General features: G+C 40.9%; 1 protein-coding gene across 20 annotated transcripts in view; it reads left to right on the forward strand.

The window, feature by feature from the left end:
• Positions 1-23,004, forward strand: part of PHACTR1 (phosphatase and actin regulator 1) — a 571,071-nt gene that overhangs the window by 320,827 nt on the left and 227,240 nt on the right. For all 20 annotated transcript variants that reach the window (XM_005248934.4, NM_030948.6, XM_047418373.1 and 17 more), the window contains one exon: positions 15,772-15,936. In XM_005248934.4, the coding sequence (XP_005248991.1) occupies positions 15,772-15,936 (165 nt within the window). The remainder of the gene's footprint in view (positions 1-15,771; positions 15,937-23,004) is intronic.

Genomic DNA, 23,004 nt, shown 5'->3' on the forward strand with positions numbered 1-23,004 from the left:
AGTGAGGAGTAGAATTGGAGCCAGTGAGTGATTGGAGATGGGACAGAACATGTCCTTCTAAGCTGATGGGCAGACTCCAGGGCGTTAAGAGCAAGGAGGACCCATTGGGGGATTCATAGAGGAACCATGGCATGCTTTGATTCATCTTTAGAAGAGATGTTCCTGGCTGCTGTGTGGAAGACTTGAGGGCAAGTAACAAAAGTCAGAACACAGAAACTGATGATATGGATAACTGGTCTACATGAAGAGAGAAGTGGGAAGAGTTGGCAAATAGTTAAGAGTTACCTTTGACCAGTTTTGATGATGAGTTAGAGCTGGTGGCCATAAGGGAAAAGGTGGTATCAAGGACAACTCGTTGGTTTCTCTCTGAGCAATTACATCACTGGCATTGCCATTACTGAAGAATGATCCAGTTAAGGGTAAGAATAACTCACTTTAGATAAAGTGAAGATGAGGTGCCTATGAAATGTTATTTGGAGATGCAGAGTCATGATGAGACTAGTAGTAATTCAGATATTTTTCCAAATATTATTTTGTATGAAATAATATAATTCTCACAATAACCCATGAAGCAGATGCTGTTATTATCCCCATATTTCAGATGTGGTAACTTAAGACCCAGAGAAGTTAAAAACTTGGCTGGTGTTACACAGCTAGTAAGAACTGTGTCAATGAGAAGAGCCTTCTGGGCTGGAAATATAAATTTAAAAATATTAAGATTATCAATGGTAGTTAGAGCCATAGGTACAAATGAAATGGTCTAGGGAGAACTGAACCATGGGAAATTCCATAATTTAACTCAAAGCCTGAGAGGTACAAAAGTACTCTAGAGGAAGAGGAAAGGGAGGAAGCCTCCCTGGGGATCAGCTACTTTTGCATGAGTGTTCAAGTGTTTAAAAAAAAAAAAAAAAAAAGGAAGGACTTGGCTCCTTTACAAACTAAAAAGCAGCTTATAAAAGGTTCTGAAATTCTGCCAGAGACAGAGTGTGAAATATGGACATGCATGTTAGCACTTGATGTTCTGCCACTTACAAACTATAGAGTTTGTATAAAGTCAGGCAAGTTACTTCTTTGCATTAGGATTAGGTTCAGCTGCATAAAACCAACTTAAAATAGTAATAACTAACATAAGATAGGGATGAATTTTTCTCTCATATAAAAGAAGCACAGAGGCGGTCAGTTTAAGGCTGCTATGTCTGATGGCTCCAGAAAGTTCTTAAAGACCAAGATGCCTCCTAGCTTACAACTCCATTATTACTATGAAGTGGCCCTTGTCCTCACAGTGCCTGCCATGTTCCAGTCATCACTTCTCTGATCTAGAAAACTGGATGAAGGGAAAAGCAAACCAAAGAAATGGCATATCTCTTATCTTTAAGCAGATTTCCAAGAAGTCACTTGGAACACTTTAGTTCATATCTCATTGGTAAAAGCTATAATAGGCCACACCTACCCTCAGAGGAGGCTGGGAAACATTCTTTTAGTAGGGCAAAAAATCAAGATGTATTCACTAAATAGAAGAATGGATTTGGCAGGCGGCCAGTTTTCTCTGCCATTGTCAATTTGCTCTTTTGTAAAATAAGATTTAAAATATTCACTTCACCTTTCTTATTGGTTTGTTGTAGGGATCAAATGATATAATAACTAGGCAAGTGTTTGATAAATGATAGAACACTATTCAGATAGTTGCTGTGAGGATGACCATTTACTCCTCTTGCACACAGTAATCACTTAAATATGTTTTCAGTGAGAAAACCTTCAAAAATATTTTCTATTTGTAGGGTCTAAAGCAGGAAATGTGGATTGATAAGAGAGAATTTTTTTCTGCAAATCTTGCATTTCAGTGACAAAGCCTTTCTTTGCCTTCAGAATCAATTTCAGGACAGCCAAGATTGATATTTGATTAGCTCTGCAGTAAAGTTCCCATCAATAATTGCCTACTCTCTGCTGAACTCAGGCACTCTCCTGAGTTTTTCTGGTAGATAAAGTAGAAGAATTATTTGTGGGGATTGCAGCTCATGTCATTAACCCACCTGGTCCTCACAATTCTGACTTGCAACATAACAAGGATGCCAGACCAAGGTCCCTTGTGGTGACTGTTTTTAAGAGAATGGCTCTTTAATTCAGAAACCAATTGAAATGATCATTAAGAAACAGAATGCAAAGATAGCAGGGCACTCTGGAAACTGTAGCTACTTATTGTGCGTAGAGATTCCCAGGCATGGATAAAAGTAAATGAAGTTTCTTTTCCTATTAAAATAAATCTGGGGTAGTCAGGAATTATCTGTGAATACTGATAATCTTTTTAACTTTTGAGCTTGACCCCAGAAACAGATGATGCTTTTGCATTAAATAATGACCTTTAAGATTATTTCACCACACAGGGCAGTTTCTATTATCTTTCATTATATACATGCTTTATATGTTAATTCCTCTAAAAATAAGATAATGTTTTCCTTTGCACAGTACTTTGCATCTTAGGATTTTAAAGAGCAGAAATTTCCTCTTCTCTTTCTTCAAAATCCCTACCCTCATAATTTGAGATGTATGTACACTAAATGCTTAACTATTTTTTGCCACATCAATACATCATAACCTCCTGCACTCATGGGCCTTAGTATTTCCCAAAAGGTCCTGAAGGGCAGGGCTGAGAGCAGGACCCTTGACATCAGCCTATTTCTCTATTTCTCTATTTCTTGTGCCTGCCCTTTTTTCTTTCCTTGACCTGTTGCCTTATAATTTAATGCTTAAATTTTGGAAAGGGAAAAAGGAACAAGCACAAATAGAGCTAATTTAGTTAAGATGAGTTTCATTATGTGTCCTAAAGGAAAACTAAAAAGATACTATATACATTAAAAAACCATATTGCAAGTAATGCAGGAAAACATATTTGACAGATGATAAGCCCAAATTGTAGCCAACAATTCAACTTGGGGAAAATTCCCACTGAGATCTGGTGTGGCTTGGTTAGTTTCATTGATGAGTCTTATTGGATAGTCATTAGCTGCTCTTTCACTTACCCTCCAGCTGAGACACAGGACCCTGCCCACCAGCCACCACCCTCGTGTGAGATTCAAGTAAAATCAAGAGTGTATACAGACTGAAACGGTTATAAGCAATCAACACTCTAAATTTGGAGTCAGGAAATCTTTAATGAGCACCCACAAAATGCCACTTATTATACTAGAGTTTCCATGTATTAATATAATGGTTGTATATGCAATCAGAGAGCTAGATATTGCTATTCCCATTTTTTGTAGTTAAGGAAATGTAGTTTTGAGAGGCCGATTAACTTGCCTGTGGTTACACAGCAAGTCATGATTAAATGCACTTAAACCTGATGTTCAAAGTCCCAATTCTAGGCTCTGAGGTCATTATATCCAGACATTTGGAAGAAAGAACTTAAGGAAAATAATAATTTAAAAATAAACACTAAATCAAATGTGAATTCAGAGCTTCCTATGTGGCAAAATTAACAGGTGACTTTCTCTGTTGAGACCTCTTTAAAAATTTAACATCTTTCATGCAGAAGAATAATAAAAAGTCCCCAAAGGAATTAACAGGACAAAAATAATACGACATTTACCTCTGAAAAAAGACTAATGGAAGTCAATTTCTGTGTTCTGAGACAAGGAAAATTAAGAATTCCTTGTGAAAGTCTTGACAAAGATATGAGCAGGGTTCCTTACTTTCTGAGTAATAATCAAAACAAGTCCAAGTTAGAGCCACTGGTGGTAATTAAAATACATACACACACACACACACACACACACACACACACACACACACAGAAGAGAAGAATGTTTTAGCAAGGATCAACACCCTTGCAAAAATACTCACTTCAGCAGTACTATTTGGATTTCACCTCGTCACTAAACAAATGATAAATGGCACTGAAAAACTCACCTGGGAGGTAATGGGAGCTACATAAGGAAACAGGGTAATGTCATCAGAGAGAGAAAATGAGAAATCTGAGCTTAAAAGGAAGTAGACTCAAGAAGTGATTCTCAAATGGAATGTAAAGTTTCATCAGGTTCTCTATCATCCTACACTTAATAGGTAACAGAGTGGCTGTTATCATGAGATTTTGGAATGAGTTCAAGAGAGAAAAAATGTCCAGGAGTGTATTAACCTTGACAGTATTAATGGAGGGAAAGATTTTGCAAAGGTTGAATCAAAAAGCCTGCACTGCCTGGTCTTGAGCATCCTCAAACCATCCACAGGAAAAGATGTGTGATGATACGTCTCTAGACTCAGTCCTGGACCACGGCAACTTTGTGTGAGTTGCCACATTCTAGGCAAATCCCTTGACTCCTCTGTGTCTCGGTTCCTTTAACTATAGAATGGTACAAAACGATACTCAACATTTGATAAATTGTGTTTCATGGAACACAAGTCTATAAGACCTTAATGGTGTCCCACAAAAAAACACTATCCAACCATATTTGTGATTAAATTAAGTTTGGAAAATAAAGGGTTCAACAGAGTTTAAAAGGTTTATTGTAGACCTTCTCAGAGCCATTAAAAGGCTAAATTGTAATTCGATTCTTTGAGAAAATAGTACCATAGTCATATATAGAGAAACAAATGAAATGTTATACCCCACCTACATAATGGGGGTGTTGTGAAGATCTAATGAGATAATAGATCTAAAAGCACTTAGAATAAAGCACTACATGAACATTAGGCATTTTAAAATTATTCCCAGTGATTTCACGTTTTAGGGACTGGCAGGCAGCACTGAAGTATGATGGAATTTTCTACACTAAGGATCTTTCTTCTTAGCCAGCCACCTGAAGGCAATGGATATAGTTGGGAAGAAGGGAGTAGGATCCTAGGGTTCATTAGGAATACTGCAGGCCTCAAAAGAGTGATTCTCAGAACACTGCCGTCAAAGTTACCTGGGCTGCTTATTTATGCATTCATATTCCTGGTTCAGTAGGTCTGAGATGGATTAAAATTCTTAACAGGTACTTCAGTTGATTCTTATATGCACTAAATTTTGAGATCCACTAGTCTGAAGAGACAGCACAGTTGAGAGCCTCCAAAACTGTTTAAATTCATGTAAGTCCTTAAGGGATATTCTAGTGGTGACATGGTAACGAATTTCACCCCTAGTGGAACGCTTATTAGCCAGGTGGTAATAAGCTGATACCAGAGGAGACTTTTCACTTTTAGATAACTTTAGCTGAGCCCATGTTCTGTGCCCCAAAAGAATGCTTTTAGTATATGCCTATTTATCTTTATAAGTCTGTATTATCCCCATTTTACAGAGAGGAAGCCGATGGGACTTTCCTAAGGTCACACAGTGAATTTGTTAGAACCCTTTTAGTTGCAAGTAAAAGAGAACCCCACTCAACCTAGTGTAAGTAAAAAAGAGAATTTATTACTTCGTGTAAGGAAAATATTCAGGGTTATAGTGGTTTCAGGCAGGGCTGGATCCAGAAGACCAAGTGATGTAATGAGGTTTCAGTTTCATTGAGTCATCTCTGTTCTCTTTGTCTCTGTTGTGGCTCAATTCTCAGGCAGCCTCTGCCATTAAAGTGGCTGAAAGGGCTGGGCATGGTGGCTCACGCCTGTAATCCCAGCACTTTGAGAGGCCGAGGTGGGTGGATCACTTGAGGTCAGGGGTGCGAGACCAGCCTGGCCAACATGGCAAAACCCTGTCTCTACTAAAAATACAGAAATTAGCTGGGCGTGGTGGTGTGCACCTGTAATCCCAGCTACTTGGGAGGTGGAGGCACAAGAACCGCTTGAACCTGGGAGGTGGAGGTTGCAGTGAACGGAGATAGAGCCACTGAACTCCAGCCTGGGTGACAAAGTGAGATTACATCTCAAAAAAAAAAGGCGGGTGGGGGGTGGCGCTGGGGAGGCTGAAAGATTATCCACAGCTCTATAGGACAAGGGTTAACAAGCTATGGCCATGCAGGCCAGATGCTTGTTTTTATAAATAAAGTTTTATTGGAATACAGACATGCCCATTTGGGCATATTAGTCTACTGCTGCTTTTACAGTGCATCAGCAGAGTAGAGTACTTCAACAGACTCTATATGGTCCATAAAGCCTAAAGTACTTACTATTTGGCTTAACAGAAAGAGTTTGCTTACCCCTGCAGGGGAAACCAGGCTTTGTTGAGGTGGGATTTGAGTCTGTAAAAGGCACTATTTATTTAACTGCAAGAAGAATATCAGACCCTAGGGTCTAAAGATTTAAGATGAAAAAAGGGTCTACGTTATTTAAAGATTGTTGCTTTGGATTAACACAAGACTTGGGAGTTTATTTACAATTTAAATAAGTTCTGTTGCCAACACAAATGTATTCTATAGATTAAATGAACAACAGAATGTTTTATAAGTTTTTGTAGTCATTATATGTGTTAGTGGTTGAAGGATACATTCCTGGGAGATAAAACAAGAATTTTGTACTGAATATCTAAGGAAGAATTTTGATAATAACATCTATTAGCTCAATAAGTCTAACAATATAGAACCTGTATAATTTTAAATTTAAATATTTAAAATTTTATAATTTTAAATTTAAATAGGAACTTTCCTCCCTACCTGTCTGGTCTGTTCACAATGTGCTCTCTTCATTGCCCTGTGTTCATGGAATAGAAGTATCTTCATCCTTCTAACACAGTTCTTAGGAAATATGAAGTATTTGACATAATAGGATCGTTTCTTCTCAACGCTTATGAATCATCATTGTGACCTGGAAATTCTTTTAATATTAACCAAGGCTAAATGAAGATGTTTTAGTTTGTGACCCCTACTTTGATTAGGCTTAGAGCCTATGTAATCTGCAATCCCAGTTGAAAGAGCATGTTTATCAGTAGTTCCAACAAATTCCAGCATTGAGTCTCATTGCCTGGCCAAGCTCAATGACTCATCCCTGAATTAATTACTGTGGGTGGAGGGTGGAGATGCAATGCTCTGATTGGCCAGCACTGGGTCACATGCCCACCTCTGGCGTCAGGACGGAGATGAACTTCCTGAACCACCCAGAGTGCGAGGAGAGGAGGAGTGACTCTCCAGAGGAGAATGAGGAAGCCCTTGCCACCTGGTGGGGGCCAGAAAGAACTCACCTCCACCAGCAGCTATTAGGTGGTAGATTCCGGATCTGGACCCACATCCTCCTAGTTTCGTAATATTTTTCCCCTATACACGATGGTTAGCATTTTCTAAGTGAAGCATATCTGAGCCTATTCCAGGCCTGACTGACACCCGCTGAGTTCGTAATTGTAGCTTGAGCACAGGTCCTTAGCAGATAATGTCCTACCGGTTCTTCTTGTCCTAGTGATCTAGGGCGGGTATTCGCCAGGGCACCTACAGACAGGTGTACATCTATATTATATGACATTTTATGGTAAGACAGCTCCTCTTTTCCCTTGCTACAGTAGGATCAATTTATAATTGGCATCTGTTTTGCAGCCTTTTCAAAAAAGCAGCTCATTTCCTCCCTCATCCCTGAAGCCCTCCTATGACTTTAGTGAGTAATACAAAGATTCAAAAAGCCAGACTCTCACACATTGAGGAGACATTCTTGCAAATAGGCATGTCTTAATTAAAAGCATGTGTTTCTCTTCTTTCGAGAATCACTTTTTCCTATTCATTAGTCCCTTCTCAATTTCTCCAGCTCTAAAATGGGGATAATATATAGCCCTCGCTCACAAGTTTAATTTGAGGATTATATAAGGTAACACATTTTAAGTGCTTAGATCAGTGTCTGGAATAGACTTAGTGACTGAAAAATGTTAGCTGTTATGGATGCTGTCATCATCATCGTCATCATCAATGATCATCTTTACCGTCATAATAGTCATCAGCACCGATACCTAAGGAAACACTGTACCGTTTACAATCCCCCCTCCTTTTAGGAGGAAACGCAGAGTCCCATAAACCGCATTAGTCATGTGGCCTCTTTCTGATACAGTGGCCTACGATTCCAAAACCAGTAGAGCCACCCTCTTGCTTTCTTTAAAATTAGTACATCTTAGGGCACCAGGATTTATGGATGTTCTTGTATTCTTGGCTGTCAATTCATGCTTCAGGAGCAAATTAACAGAAACATGGGCCATCTTTGGACCTATGGATCCCTGAGTTTTCCTTCCTTCCCATCTCCCCGCATTGTATGTCAGCACAGTGTTTTCCCAGGGGGCCACTAAAGGGCAGCTCTGCCTGTCCACAGTGCAGGAGGCAGCAGTACACCTATGATGAAAGCATCCCTAGGAACTTGCCTCCGGCAGTGGGGAGAGCTGCCTTTACCAGGCAGAACTCTGTAGAAGCCAGAGACAAAGGAGGAAGTTGGCCAAGAGCCTGAGCAAATCTGCTGAGAAGTTTGGGTCCAGGTATATGGAGCCTCCCTCCTTTCTCCACCACTCCCAGACCACAGGACTCTGTCATATAGGCATGCACACACTATTGATTCTTCCCCCATGAGGACTACCATTCTTGCAAGCAATAAGATTGATAAGCAACTCTCTCAATGTAAACATTGACCTCTCCCTCCAGAGATGTAGTGGGGAAGACTGCCAGATGTCATGATGTGGCGTAATGGTTGCATCTGGGGTGTGGGTGTTGTTTTGTGTGGAATGTAAGTGGCGTTTCCTCTGATGGTTCCTAGGTAGAAAGATAGCCACCTGTGTGTCCAAGCAGCTGAGGAGCACCAGAGCTCCCTCCTCCTACCCATCCCCACCGGGACTTGCATTACTCAAGTCATCCAGTTTTTGGATTCAGACAGATAAAGCCTTAGTTAAATGTTGCTGTCTCATTACCATATGCTCAGCCAGTATCAGTGTCCACAGCTTGGTGCTAATACATAAATTGGATCCCTCTTTGACTGGATGCTAAGGGATGGGGTGGAGGAGGGTGGTGCACAGAGGCGCAGAAGAGCCTGAAAGAAGGAAGTGAGGGCAGTGAAGGTCAGTGATCCTCGTACTCACCGATGTTAACATGAGTACTCTCTCAGGCATCGTGTCTGTGTTTAATAGCTCTTGGACAACATGGCCTTGTTGATTTATCTCCCAGCTCCTTCATGGTGTATATTTTTCCTTTAACCAGGCAACCTCTCTGTGCTAAAAGAGTCTCTGTTGTCCCCATCATTTTCCCTCTTTAATGCCCAATCTTTGTCCCATCCACTCCCCACTTTACGTCCCCATCCCATTCCTAATGAAACCAGGTAGGCACTCTGGATTTTTAGAATAAACATGTTTTACTCTTTAAAAAAAAAAAAAATCAAAAAACAACAACAAAAAATCTTCTAGTTAATCAATTCTAGGTTGTCAGAAACTCTTCCAAGAGATCCAGCCTCTATAAGTGTATGGCATGACTTATTCTAGAATGAAAAAGGAAAAATAGTGTCCTCATATGCCTGATAATTCATATCAACCCTTCATTTATTTATGATAAGGTAGCTCTGAAAGTGACAGTACATTTATAAAAGGGACCTTTCTGAATGGCTGGGCACCTGTGTGGCGTCATTTTGCAGGGCAGGAAAAGGCAGCGCAGGCTGGCCGTGGAGGCTCACACCTGTAGTCCCAGCACTTTGGGAGGCCAAGGTGGGCGGATCACATGAGGCCAGGAGTTCAAGACCAGCCTGGACAACATGGTGAAACCTTGTCTCTGCTAAAAATACAAAAATTAGCCGAGTGTGGTAGTGCACGCCTGTTGTCCCAGCTACTCAGGAGGCTGAGGCATGAGAATGGCTTGAACCTGGGAGGTGGAGGTTGCAGTGAACTGAGATCATGTCACTGCACTCCAGCCTGGGTGACAGAGCAAAACCCTGTCTCAAAAAAAAAAAAAAAAAAAAAAAAAGGCAGTGCTGCTGCTTCAGCGTAGTGAGCTGACAGCCTACCTTACCTCCACTCTGATCTTTGGTTCCCATTCCTAGGGTGGTGAAATAAGGGAGGTATATAACCCCTTCTAATTACAAGCAAAAGCGAAGGTTATCAGATCCTGCAACATAAACGTTCTGTTATTGAGTTCACTTAGGGTTAAGAAACAAGAATCCAATTTATGAGAATCTTAGGTCCTCCAAAAACCCTAGGAGCATTTAGCACATGGGGAGATCTCCACTGGGGTCCCAAATGGGCTGCCCTCCTGCCTCTGGTGCTGACTCTGACTAGACATCAGATGGCACAGACACCATGCTTCCTTCATTCCAGGCTGCTCCCTGGGATACTGTATGACGAGCACTTTCTAGGCCAGCAGAAAGCCAAGGTGATGCCATCTTTGCACAAGCCTTTTGAAAGCCAAACCACCATGAGAAATATGGTGTACCTGAGGAGCGCCCCGAGCCCCGGCCCAGCTCCTCCCGCTGCATGCCCTAGGAGCCCACCAAGAGTAATCCCAGGTTGCCACCAGGGCTGGGGTTCAGAACACCATCTGGCCTAGGTACTTTGGTTCTTGTCATTAAAATCATGCATACATCAAATATTTTCTTTCTGGCCTGTCTAAGGAGAAAGAAAAATCATCTCCCAATCATTTCCACCCTATGGGTAAAACAAAACCCAGTTTTGTCATAAGTGGGAGCCCAAACTGTGTGGTCCTTCAAAGAGTGTTCTCTTGGATGGTAGAGCAGGAAAGACCCCAGGAGTTTGCTTGCCCATGGCTCTCTCCTCACTTCAGCCTTCTGAAGGAGCTCAGCTGCCCAGCTTCCAACGTTTTGATTCAACATGCTCAGTCCTGGCAGTTGACATTCAAGCTGATTCATGTGTGGCTCAGCATTTTCTCCAGACAGCATGAGGTAGCCACCTTTGAGCAGGCCAAAGTGAAGCTGTCTTTACATGCTCCATTTCCAAAAAAGGCTGTTTGTGATTCCAAAACATGGCAGGCCACGCCCTGCTCTCCCACTTGCCTTCATCCCTTTCTTTCTCTGGTTCCTGCAATGGGAGACCACTTTATCCTGAGACCTGTTTTTTGGTTTCCATTTCTTTGTGTGTGTGTGTGTGTGTGTGTGTGTGTGTGATGGAGTTTCACTTTTGTCACCTATGCTGGAGTGTAATGGTGCAATCTTAGCTCACCGCAACCTCTGCCTCCTGGGTTCAAGCAGTTCTCCTGCCTCAGCCTCAGTAGCTGGGATTACAGGCACATGCCACCACACCCAGCTTATTTTTCTGTTTTTAGTAGAGACAGGGTTTCACCATGTTGGCCAGGCTGGTCTTGAACTCCTGACCTCAGGTGATCCACCTGCCTTGGCCTCCCAAAGTGCTGGGATTATAGGCGTGAGCCACCGCACCAAGCCTTCCCTTCCTTTTCAAACTGTGTTCATAAGTTGGCTCACTCTTGAGCCATCCTCACACTTAAGCCTTCCAATATCATTATCTGATGGCAAAGCTAGCCCCATCATCAAATTAATTGGAGAAAAATGTAATGGGGTGATTAAAATATAAATCAGCTAAACCTAATGTGATCCAGTCTGCTCAATAATCTACTGAATTTAAGAGCTAAACATCATGAATTTCATAATAATACTTATTAAGGATTCATTTAACTATTGAGTTATAATTATACCTTTATAATACCCTGTGTTCCTTGCCACTCTTGGTTTTTCAAAGGCACTTCTAATTTCATATCATTATTTTAATGGGGCAATTTCAGAATAATTTGTATCCATTTCTTAAAGATGTGATTATGGAAAAGCGTTTCGGTTCTCATGGCACTTTTTTTTTTAAGACAAGTAACGATACATATTTTCATACCTCTGAAGATGTGAGCAAATGAACTGAATCAAATGCAGTTACCCAGTTATCTACTCAGTAAGTCATTATTGAGTGCCAACTATGAGAAGCAAACTCAGTATCAACCCTGAATAATTACTATCTTGATTTTTTAAAGGATTCTGTATATAATTTCTCTTTAACCTGTAGCAGATGTTTGATGTTGGCTGAACTCAGAGAATTCTCAAACTGAATATTTTAAAAACTTCACTTTTGTGTCTTAGGCTGTTTTGAGAATCAAAGAATGATAGGAAATCTTCCAACCAAATGCAGATACCCATCCCCTTGAAGCCCACTAGGATCCAGAGATCCCGGGATGAGTGCTTCTACCAGGAGTATTTCATTTTGGCTATAACACGTGTTTAGAGAAGTACTAGAAGATCATTCTGAGCAGCTTACTCAGGTTGAGAGTAATAAGTCAGGTTGTTTTAATATAAAAAATAGGTTATTTCATGGAGGAAAAAACTTGAATAAGTGATTCTTGGCCTTGTCTGAAGGCCAGTACAGGAAATTAGAACTTCCTACTGTATGCTGTGGGGAGCCACCTGCAGTTCCTACAAGGAACAGGCTTCTAGTAAAAGTATCCAATACAGGTTTGAAGGCAGGAGAGTAAGTCTGGGAATATAGGTTTGGAGACTTGTAAAATGTGGACAAAAGCAACAAGACTATACACCAAGGTAAGGAATGAGGGGAAAGTGATGAGTATGAAAGAGGAAGTGACCTGTGAGAATCAGACCTCTGGACTATGGTGACTTTGCTTCTCTCCTGGACTCAGCACCTCTTTGCTGTGGTTTCCCACAATTATTACTACTTGTGTGGCTCTGCTGACATTGTTGAAGAAGCACCAATTCAAGCAGCTGATGCCTTTTAAAAAGCAGAATGCTCAAATTCAGTGTTACTTCTGAGGCTATTTACTTGCCTGATTTGATTTCTTTTTTTATTCCTTGTCGTAGCTGTGTTGTTGTTATTGTTACCACTCTCTTCAGCCATTCCACAACCCGTACTTAAAACCTTCTGAATCTTTTATCTTCCTCCTTTAGCCTCCAGTAATCTGTTATTTTACCACTGCTGCGAAATTAATCTCCCTGAGGCCCACATCTGATCTATGCCATTTGTGATCAGAGACCTCAGTTCAAACTTTCAATCACTCAGCATAAAATCTCCTGATCAGTAATACTTTTGTGCATTTTTGATCCCACTTCTTCGCCTTCCTAAGAACCATGTTTCATACATTTCTCAGCATTTTTTCTACATCTTCGATCTCTCACTTTCCCCTGGCTCTGGCAGCTCAGCCTACTGACCCCCAAATCAAGTCTCTCCTTCCTACCTTGGCAAATTTCCTCTCAATAGTTCTTCATTACCTCAGGAAATAAAGTTCTAACCCCTAAAAAGCCTTTGCAAAAATACTGAATTATCTGGCTGCAAAGTTCTTGTCCCCATTGAGCTGCCATCCTATTCTGCTTCTTCCTTTATCATCAAATTCTTTAAAACATGTAAAATCATCACATTGACCTAGTCATGAAAACTAAAAATGTTAGCCATTCTTGCTTCCTGGTACTTTCTCATGTTTATCCAGAGAGTTACCAAATCTGCTGATTCTCCCACCTGGCTGAATCCCATCTTTTCTTCCTATCCTTCTGTCATGCCCCTGCTTGAATCCTAGTTACTGTGATTGCAGTGTCCTCCTGATTGTTCTCGCTGTCAAGGATTTCCCCATATTCCGAGTCAGGTTACCTTTGCTGCTGCAAAGATATTCCTAAGAAACAAATCTAATTGCATCCTGATCACGTACCTTCTCGATCAGGCCGACCCCCCCATTCTACCCAAAGTACTCTTGATCTATTTTACCAGGTTCCACTCATTATTTTTTTCCCCAAAGCAAGTATCTTCTGGCATACTCTATAATTTATTTGGTTTCAGTGTTTGCTGTCTGCCCTTCACCCTACCTCTGCATGTGAGCTCTATGAGTTGGTATTTTTATTTGTTTTGTTTACCGTCATAGCCTAAGCATCTGGTACAGAGTGGGCATACAATACATTTTGGTTGAATGTGATAATACCAGTTTCCCATTTTCAAATTTTCCTTGTCCCTCTGCTCAGAGGATGAACCCCAAATGCCAATTCATTTCAAGAGCTTACATGATCTGGTTCCAGACCCTCCAACCCCTGTCTCTCTCCACTAGTGCTTCATCTCACCTAACGTCACTGAGGCTCACAGTTGACTGAGTTCCTTGAAGTCCCTAGATGTTCCATGCCTTCAGCCCTCTCTATTCCTGTTGGGTCTGTTTCTCCTCCCAGGGATCCGCTTCTCCCTCTTCCCCTTGCCAGGAGAACAGCCCCTTCTCTTTCAAAACTTAAGCCCAAAGTGACCTCCCTCGAGGTCTTCTCCAATGCTGTGAAGCAGAATTAGTTGCTCTCTCCTCTTCACTTACATTGAGTTTTATATTGTAGCTCTGTTGTGGTATGTTCTTACACACTGATCTCTCTGTCTCCTCCTTGGGACTCTGTGCTCAAGGCCAGTTTTCCTGTGTGTCTTCCCCAGAAATGATCATAGTATCTGGCAGAGATTTAAGTGGCCACTTAATCAAATGATTGAAAAGAGGAGCTCCCAGTGCACTGAACCAGGTAGTAAAGGTTTAAGTGCCCTGTTCATTGCAGCATGTCCAAATCATCACTGCCCTCACCCCTAAACCTGTGTCCTCGCCTGTCTTCCTTATCTCTATGAATGAAGGGTACCACTCTGCTGACCTGAATCTTGGAATTGCCAATGATCTGCCTCCAGTCCTTCTGGTCACTCAATCAGTCACTAAGTTCTTTTGACTTTACTTCTGACGTGTCTCTCAATTCCATCTACTTTCTTTCAGTCCTGCTGTGGGGAGCTCTTACTAGCTTATCACATCTGTCACCAATACAACTGCCACAGCACACACTCAGAATTCCATATGTATTTAATGAATGGATCTCCTGAGTTAAAACTATGTTCAGACCACAACAAGCTGACTATCATTTTTATATGGTCATTGGCAGGTTGAACTTGCAAGGAATGCATAGGTTGCAGAAGTCTGGATGAATTTTTTGAGGGAACAAAGTGGTTTGGGATTTGCCATGGCTTCAGATATCATTTTGCTTTCTGGGAAGTTGAATTCCTTCCATGCTCTCAATTTTGCCAAAGAGCTTAGTTTCTCTGATTATTCCTTTCTTAAAAATTCAAGTTGGGGTATTGGAATCTGTAAATATGGAAAAGAGTTTGTTTTATTTCATGTGGTAAAAAGAGGTTGGGATGATTGTGGCCTTTAAGGAAGGGTCCACTAGGCATTATGAGATTGAAAGTTGAATATGCTCAAGTGTTCTATTATTGGGATTAGCATAGATTTTCCCTAAAGATACCCCCAGCTCTCAATTTCTAAGAATTTTTTTTTTAAGCAAGACTCCAGGAAAAGAAAAACTAGTGGAATTAAGACAATTGTAAATTCTAATGGAAGTGTGAGTGACTCCAAAATCGATCAGTAATCCTAAAGTACAGTCACTTGCTTAACAGATTTCAGTGCTGCTGAAGGTCTAGGTAAAGCCAGGTAGTAGGAAGTAGACAGCAGTGGGTATTGGAGACGTTGGCTTTGGAATAGACAGTTGATAAATGTTTTCTCCCTTCTTTTTTCTCAGTAGACAGTGCTGTAGTGATTGCGTCTGCCAAGTCTTATTTGAGAAATTGCCGGACCAGTAGTTACACTGACTCTCATTTGAATCTTCTGGTGGCCTCTCCCTGTTTTGGGCGGTAGTCCCTGACTTGTCCAGAGAGCTCTCCTCCTCTTTCTCTTCCTCCTCCAGCCTAAATAGAAGTTGAGCAAATTTGGTTGGGATGTTTTGAATCTCTAGGGGTTGGCCAACTGTCCTCAGCCTTCAGAACACACTGGTGTGACTTCCATTCCAAAAGGCAAAGAGAAACTCTAGTCACGTGGTTTCTGTTATCTGTAACCATGGAAAACGTTGGCCATCTGTGAGGCTCCCATTTTAACACTTTTTTTCTCTCTTTGTTTTCATCTCTTTCTTGGAAATAACAAGCTGAGGAAGTGGAGAGGCTGGCGGCGATGCGTTCTGACTCCCTCGTCCCAGGCACCCACACCCCACCCATCCGCAGGAGAAGTAAGTTTGCCAACCTGGGAAGGATTTTCAAGCCTTGGAAATGGAGGAAGAAGAAAAGCGAAAAGTTCAAACACACGTCAGCAGGTAAGATGATTTGTTCTTTCATTTCCCATTTGGTGTTTGTTGCCTTCAACTCTATTATCTTAACAGAATTTAATTGCAATAGGCTGTTTGAACCAAAGGAGAAAAAATATCAAGCCTTGGAATGGCTCTTGTCTTTAAAATTTTTTCAGTATGATCAAGAATGACTTTTATATCCTATGTGTTTTCTCCTATCTCATGATTTTTTGTTTGTTTTTAAACTAAAGAACCACCCTTTTAATTTGATCTACGAATAATCTGAATTTAGACCTCTGCCTTTTCTATAATTGAATGCTTTCATTCTGGCGTTGATGATGCGTTTATTATATTCATTGTTATTTTCACTATTCCAGTAAAAGTGAACACATAGCAGAAAACAAGTTATATGGTTACTGGCAGATAAGAATAGGTTATTTCATGGAGGAAAAACCTTGAATAAGTGATTCTTGGACATAGCAGGAAAACAAAGAATACAAATGAATCATTGTAGTGGCAAAGATAACTGTACGGTTTGTGGCTCAATGGACAGCAAAGAAATGTGGGGGAAATCAGCACAGCTGAGGGGTTAAGAGCACAGATCCTGGAGCCACACTTCCTGGATTTGAATCCCAAATCTGATACTTGCTGGTTATATGATCTTGCTCAGTTTATTAATGCTGTGCCTCAGCTTCCTCGTCTGTAAAATAGAAGTAAGAATAATACCTTACATGAGTTAATATTTGTGGAGAGTTTGTATGGCATCTTAGGTGGATATTTTTTAAATAAGTAAGGGTGTGCAGAGGGAAATGTGCTACAGGGAAAGACACAGAGTTTTGACTTCACCCCATTGGGTCTGTGATCAGACAGTGGAAGAGCTATACAGATTCCCTTTGGTTTTGGTCTGTTTGGGCTGCCATAACAAAATACTGTAGACTGGGTGGCTTAAACAACAGAAATGTGTTTCTCACAGTTCTGGAGGCTGGAAGTCCTAGATCAAGTTGCTGACAAGATAGGTTTTCTTCTGAGGCCTCTTCTCTTGGCTTGTAGGCGGCAGCCATCTTGCTGTACACTCACATCACCTCTTCATTTTTGTGTGCACAGAGAGAGCATGTACGTAAGCGAGTGTGAGCAGACTGTTGAGAGTCTCTCCTTATAAAGACACTAATTCCATCATGAGTGCCCTACCTGCATGACCTCATCTAATCCTAATCACCTCCCAAAGTCCCCTTTCTCCAAATACCAGCACATGGGGAGTGAGGGTTGCAACATATGAATTTGGGAGGGACACAACTAAGTCCATGGCACTTTGTTTTGATTTTTCTAATCACGTGTCCAGTCATTGCCAGGGCTACCCCAAGGTTTTCATTTCCTTCTTCCCTCTACATCCTCAAAAACTCAACCTGCCTTCTCGCCTGCTCAGAATCATCACCTCTTCCATTTCTTGGGTTTCCTGCCTCTTTGCCTCACCCCTAAACTAACCTTGAAATAGGAGATGTGCTTCTTGTACCTGAATATCAGTCCACAGATCTGAGAATCTTAATGCTAATCACTTTTGGGAAAGAAAGAGAATAACATAGAAAATCTGCAGAGTCTTGAAATCTTAATTCTCATGATAGCCATGTTTTCTGACTCTGTTTCTTAGATGGAAGCCCCACCATCCTGATGTTATATTTGTTAATTCCTGAGATAAGAATGAATCTCTGAATTTCATAAATTTCTAAATCATTACCCATATAAGTCCCACCACTCTGACTCTGCATTCTCCACTCTCTCAGTCATCGTGCTGGTTCCTTAAGGTGTCGCAAAACCTGTAGGTCATTTGTGCATCCTTAAAAACAACTGAGTGATTTACAAGTGAGCAAAACTCCAAATGTGTATCCTCCACTGAGACAGAAAAGGGTACTTAGGTCATTGTCTCAGAGAGAAGAAATCTAAGTGAAATATATTCTTTAAGCAAAGTAAGATGTAAGACACTGAAACAAGAAAGAAAATGGGAGTGTTTTGTAAGCATTGAAAAAAATATATATATATAAAACAAAGATGCCATGAGGTCTCTTCCTGACTTTGCTAAGCAAAATAGTTTGTACACACATTTCGGTAATTGTCATTTGTCACCATGAATCTCTGAATGATGGAGTGATGGATGCATTTCCTCCTGGCAAGTCAAGGGCTTTGTTTAGTTCATTTGACAAGGCCACAAGGCAAAGCCCTGAGGCTTCTCACATGACCGATTATGCCAACGTCTTCAAGACATTGGAAAACATATCACCTGATAGGTGCAGATGCAATGGCATCAGATTACTCATGAATTATTAAACGTCTTCAAAAATTTTGTTTTAAGCTCATATGGGAGAAAGAATGGAAACATGTGACAAGCAGAGTTGCTAACCTTAAATCATTCTTGTCATTAATGATCATAGCAAGTTCTTGTGACCTCTGTGGCCAGATTGATTAACGTGGCAGCTGAATGTGATATTTGTATGCAGTTTTGTTTTGTTTTCTTAGAGACATTCCACTCCTGAATTAGAGAAAGTAGAGAATACACTACAGTATATCTTTATATCATGATAGATGGATGGGTGCATGATGTAACTAAAGGTATGCTAGTTTTAAAAAAGTTGGCCAGGCACAGTAGCTCACTCTTGCAATCGCAACATTTTGGGCAGCCCAGGTAAGAGGATCCCTTGAGCCCAGGAGTTAAAAACCAGCCTGGGCAACATAGTGAGACCTCATCTCTACAAAACATAAAATTAACATGGGGACACATGTCTGTAGTCCCAGGTACTCAGGAAGCTGAGGTGAGAGGATTGCTTGAACCCAGGAGTTTAAGACTTCAGTGAGCTGTGATCGTGCCACTGTACTCCAGCTTGGGTGACCAGCTGAGACCCAATCTCACACATATGCAAAGCAAACTTTTCCATGTGTGTATAAGAGTCATATCTAAGTAAATATACATGAGAATTGGTTGATTGAGGGAATGTTCATTGGTTAGCCAATTTTAGCTAGTATACCTATCTTTGTCTTGTATGTATGTGTTGTTAAAGGAAAAGTTATTCATTGACACTTGTTGAAGATAAGGCAGTCTTTATTCAACACCACTGAAAGAAGGATAGGGACCACTGCAATAGGGTCTTGCAGTGGGAGAAATGGTCAGTACTTAACTCTGATACAGCATGGGCAAGTGGGAATTTACAACCAAGGAGCAGAGTGAGGGTCCCTAGGTGGAAAATTACTAAAAGGAAACATCAGGAGTAAGGGAGATTCTGGCTAAGCCAATCTAATAGGATTCTTGCTGAAGACAGGCCAGGGTGATCAGATATCACCTGAGAGATGGTGGGGACTGAGGAACCTAATGATTAGATAATGAGAATTATCTGATATTGAGGATGGGGAGATTCTGGTTAAACTGACTTACCAGGATCCTTGCTAAAATTGGACAATGGAAAGAAGAACATGGAAGGCCAAAGTCAGGCTCAGTTGAAAAGGAGTTCAGTGTGGGGGAAGGGAGAACGAAGAGAAGTTGGTTAATGAGTGCAAAACTACAGTTAGATAGAAGGAATAAAGTATAATATTTGATAATAGCGTAGACTATAGTTAAGAATTTTTTATACATTTCAAATAGCTAGAAAAGAAGAATTGGAATGTTCCAACAAAGAAAAGATAACTGTTTGAGATGATGGATATTCCCAATTACCCTGATTTGATCACTACACATTGTATACATGCATCAAAATATCACATGTACCCCCAAAATATATACAACTATTGTGTATTAATTTTTAAAAAAAGGAAAAAGGGGTTCAGGGGAGGCTGAGTAGAGCTTGGTTAATGAGAAAATCTTGCTCAGTCTATATCATATCCTTTCATATGTACAATATTATCCACCATTTTAAAAAGAAAGAATAAGTCCATATATTCATATTATTTATTTGTATTTAAAATTATATCCCTCTTTGAACACACAAAAAGACATCAATACAATGTTTACTTTGCTTGTTATTGTTTACAGACTGGGTTACATTTATAATTTGCCATGATTAGGTATACTGTGGTTTAACTGTAACTTGTTACAGGGGCTTATGTGTCTCTTTGTAATTAAATTTCTGGGTGTACCTTTATACAAGGAATAAATTACAATATTTGATAGTAGATAGTGTACCTTATACAAGGGGACACTCAGAAATTTTATTTACCAGTTGTATAGCAATAAGAAAACTATATTGGAAAATTATGATTTCAACGTTTCCCTCAATTTTGACATCAACGATTACATGGATGTTTTGGACGTAGACCTCCACTTCGAATGCTACTCTTACATCCTTCCTGTTCTAAGCTGAAGGCTGCCATCCTTAAAAGGCCCTGAGCATTAAGACCCAGGGGCTGAGCTCCAGATGGTGGTGAAAGCACTATTGAGACACGGAGTAGCTCTCAGCAGAAGTCCTGCATCACAGGATGGCAGGAGGAAAACAGGAATGGATGGAACATAAAATAATGGGTCCTCAGGGAAGACGATCCTCACATGCCTTTCAGTCTGCCCTCCGAGGCCCTGCCCAGGGCTTGTGAACCTATGAGCCTGATACATTCAGCTTCTTATGTGAATCTGCAATGGGATCCACAATGCATCTCCACACCTGCCCCAGGAATGAAGACAGATGATAACATCCCCTCTGAAATAGAACAGGCAGTGCCTCCCCAAATAGTCAACTGCAGCGATCTTATCCAAATTCCTTGAAAATGAGGACTGTATTTATAGAAAAGTAGAACTGGCAGGCAGAAACTGTGAAGACACCACCGAGTTATGCTTTTATTTCCTCTTGACAGAAAATCATAAGCTGCAGGGGTTGGCCGTGGAAATCTACAATGTGTCAGAATTCCCTTTGTGCTTCTAAGATTTTCTGCACACCTAGGGTCTTGGTTGTTGGTGGGGAGAAAAAAACATGAAAAACTTTTACTGAGTGTCCACCACATGCCGGAATGTCACCTGGCTCTGGGTATATAGCCATGAGCCAAACCAGACCTAGTCAGTGACCTCCTGGCATGCATGATATAATGGAGAAACAGCTGGTCCAATGTTGAAATTATAAAAATAAAGGTAAAGTCTCACCTGTGATAAGGGCAATGAAGGAAAGGTACTTGGGAGAAGGAGAGGGGGGACTTCACTTAGTCTTGAGAGGTCAGGGAAACTTTCCTAAGGAAGAGAGGTTTGGGCTAGAGTCTGAGGAAAGTGTAGAAATGTAGAAAATGAGCAGCAGAAAGAGCTTGTGCAAAGGCCCTGTGGTAGAAGAGGAGAGGTGAGCCGTCTAGGAGAGCGAGAAAGACCAGTGGCTGGAGAATGGAGAGCTGAGTGTCGTGCGGGTTGAGGCTGGAGAGGTAACCAAAGACCAGCTCCCCACTGATTCTGCCTCGTTTAGAGCAAATTCAGGAGTGTGAGTAGCTGCAGACAGACCAGTGGGAGGCATTATGCAGATGATAGTAGCCTGAACTAATGTCTGGTGGTAGAAAAGGATGGATTTGGGAGATTTTATAAGGAACAAATGACTTAGTAATGGGTCAAACATGAGAAGGAGAGATAGAAGCAGTGTTGCCTTTGGCATGGAATGTTCCATTTTGACATTTGGGGGCAATATTATTTAGTCTTAAAAAAGAAGGAAATCCTACCATTTGTGACAAAATGGGTGAACCTGGAGGGCACCCTGCCAAGTGAAACATACCGGGTACAGATGGACAAATGTGGCATAAGCCCACTTCCATGAGGTATCTGAAAAGTCAAGTAGAAGGGTGGTTGCCAGGGGAGGGGGAAATGGGAAGTTGTTTCTTAATGGCCATAAAAGCTCAGTTATGCAAGATGAATAAGTTCTAGAGATCTACTGTATAATACAGTGCCTCTAATTAACAATCCAGTATTGTGCACTTAAAAATTTAAGATGGTAGATTTTATGTTAAATGTTCTTATCACACACACACACACACACACACACACACACACACAAAACCCACAGAGGAACACAAGGGAACTTTTGAAGGTGATGGATGTGTTTATTACCTTGATTGTGGTGATGATATCATGGTTGTATGCATAGGTCCAAACTCATCTACTTGTATATTTACATATGCAGTTTGCACACAGTTATACCTCAATAAAGTTGACAATTTTTAAAATAAAAAAATGGTTTTAAAGTGTAAAGTTTGACACCCTAATGTTGGTTTATGGTGGTGGCTTTATCTGAGATGAGTACTTTGGAAGAGTGACAGGTTTGGGGGTATGATTCCAATTTTAGGTGTGTAGATATGTGTTTGAGTCAACTTTGTGATATCCAGAGTTGGCAGTTGAATATGTGGAATGAAAAAGAGAGGTCTGGGCTGGCTATGTAAATTTCAGGTCGTTTGCATATATATAATAATTAGAGTGATGACTAGATGTAAGATTGGCTAGGAAACAAGAACAAAATGGAAAGAAGAGGGCCAAGGACAGTCTTCTAGATGAGGGAAGATTATTGTCCCTAAGACTAGATAGAGGAGGAGGAGCCTGTAAAGGAGATAGAGAGGCAGTGGCCAGAGAGGTAGGAGGAAAACCAGAAGCCTAAGATGTGGTGGACACCAAGAACAGAAGGCATCCAGGAGGCTACAGTTAACCGTGTTTAATACCATGAAGTCAAGTGGAAGAAGTACAGAAAAATGTCCATTGACACTAGTGGCTCCACTCAACTAGAGATCATTGGTGACTTAGCAAGAGCTGCCTGGATGGATTGTTTGGGGCAGATGTCAGATTAGTGTAGAGTGAGAAGTTGGTAGGAGCTGGGGTAAGATGGGGTTAAATTTTTGAGAAGTTTAGCAGCTAAGTGGGTAAGAGATAGGACAAGATGGGTGATGGAGGAAATCTATGTGTGTCTATAGGGGGTTGTGTGTGTGTCTTCTGATTTGTCACCATTGTTTTATGATGCACGAGAGATCAATAGGAAAAGCAAATGTGAAAGAGGCAGTAGAAGGAGTTAGAAAATATGAGACAGAAGAGATAGGGGAAGGGTGCTGAGAAGTGAGGAGTAGGTGGGTTACAAGGCACAGAAAGAAGGGCTAGTATCAGAAAAGGAATGA

Source organism: Homo sapiens, chromosome 6, assembly GCF_000001405.40.
Source record: "Homo sapiens chromosome 6, GRCh38.p14 Primary Assembly".
Classification (NCBI taxonomy): domain Eukaryota; kingdom Metazoa; phylum Chordata; class Mammalia; order Primates; family Hominidae; genus Homo; species Homo sapiens.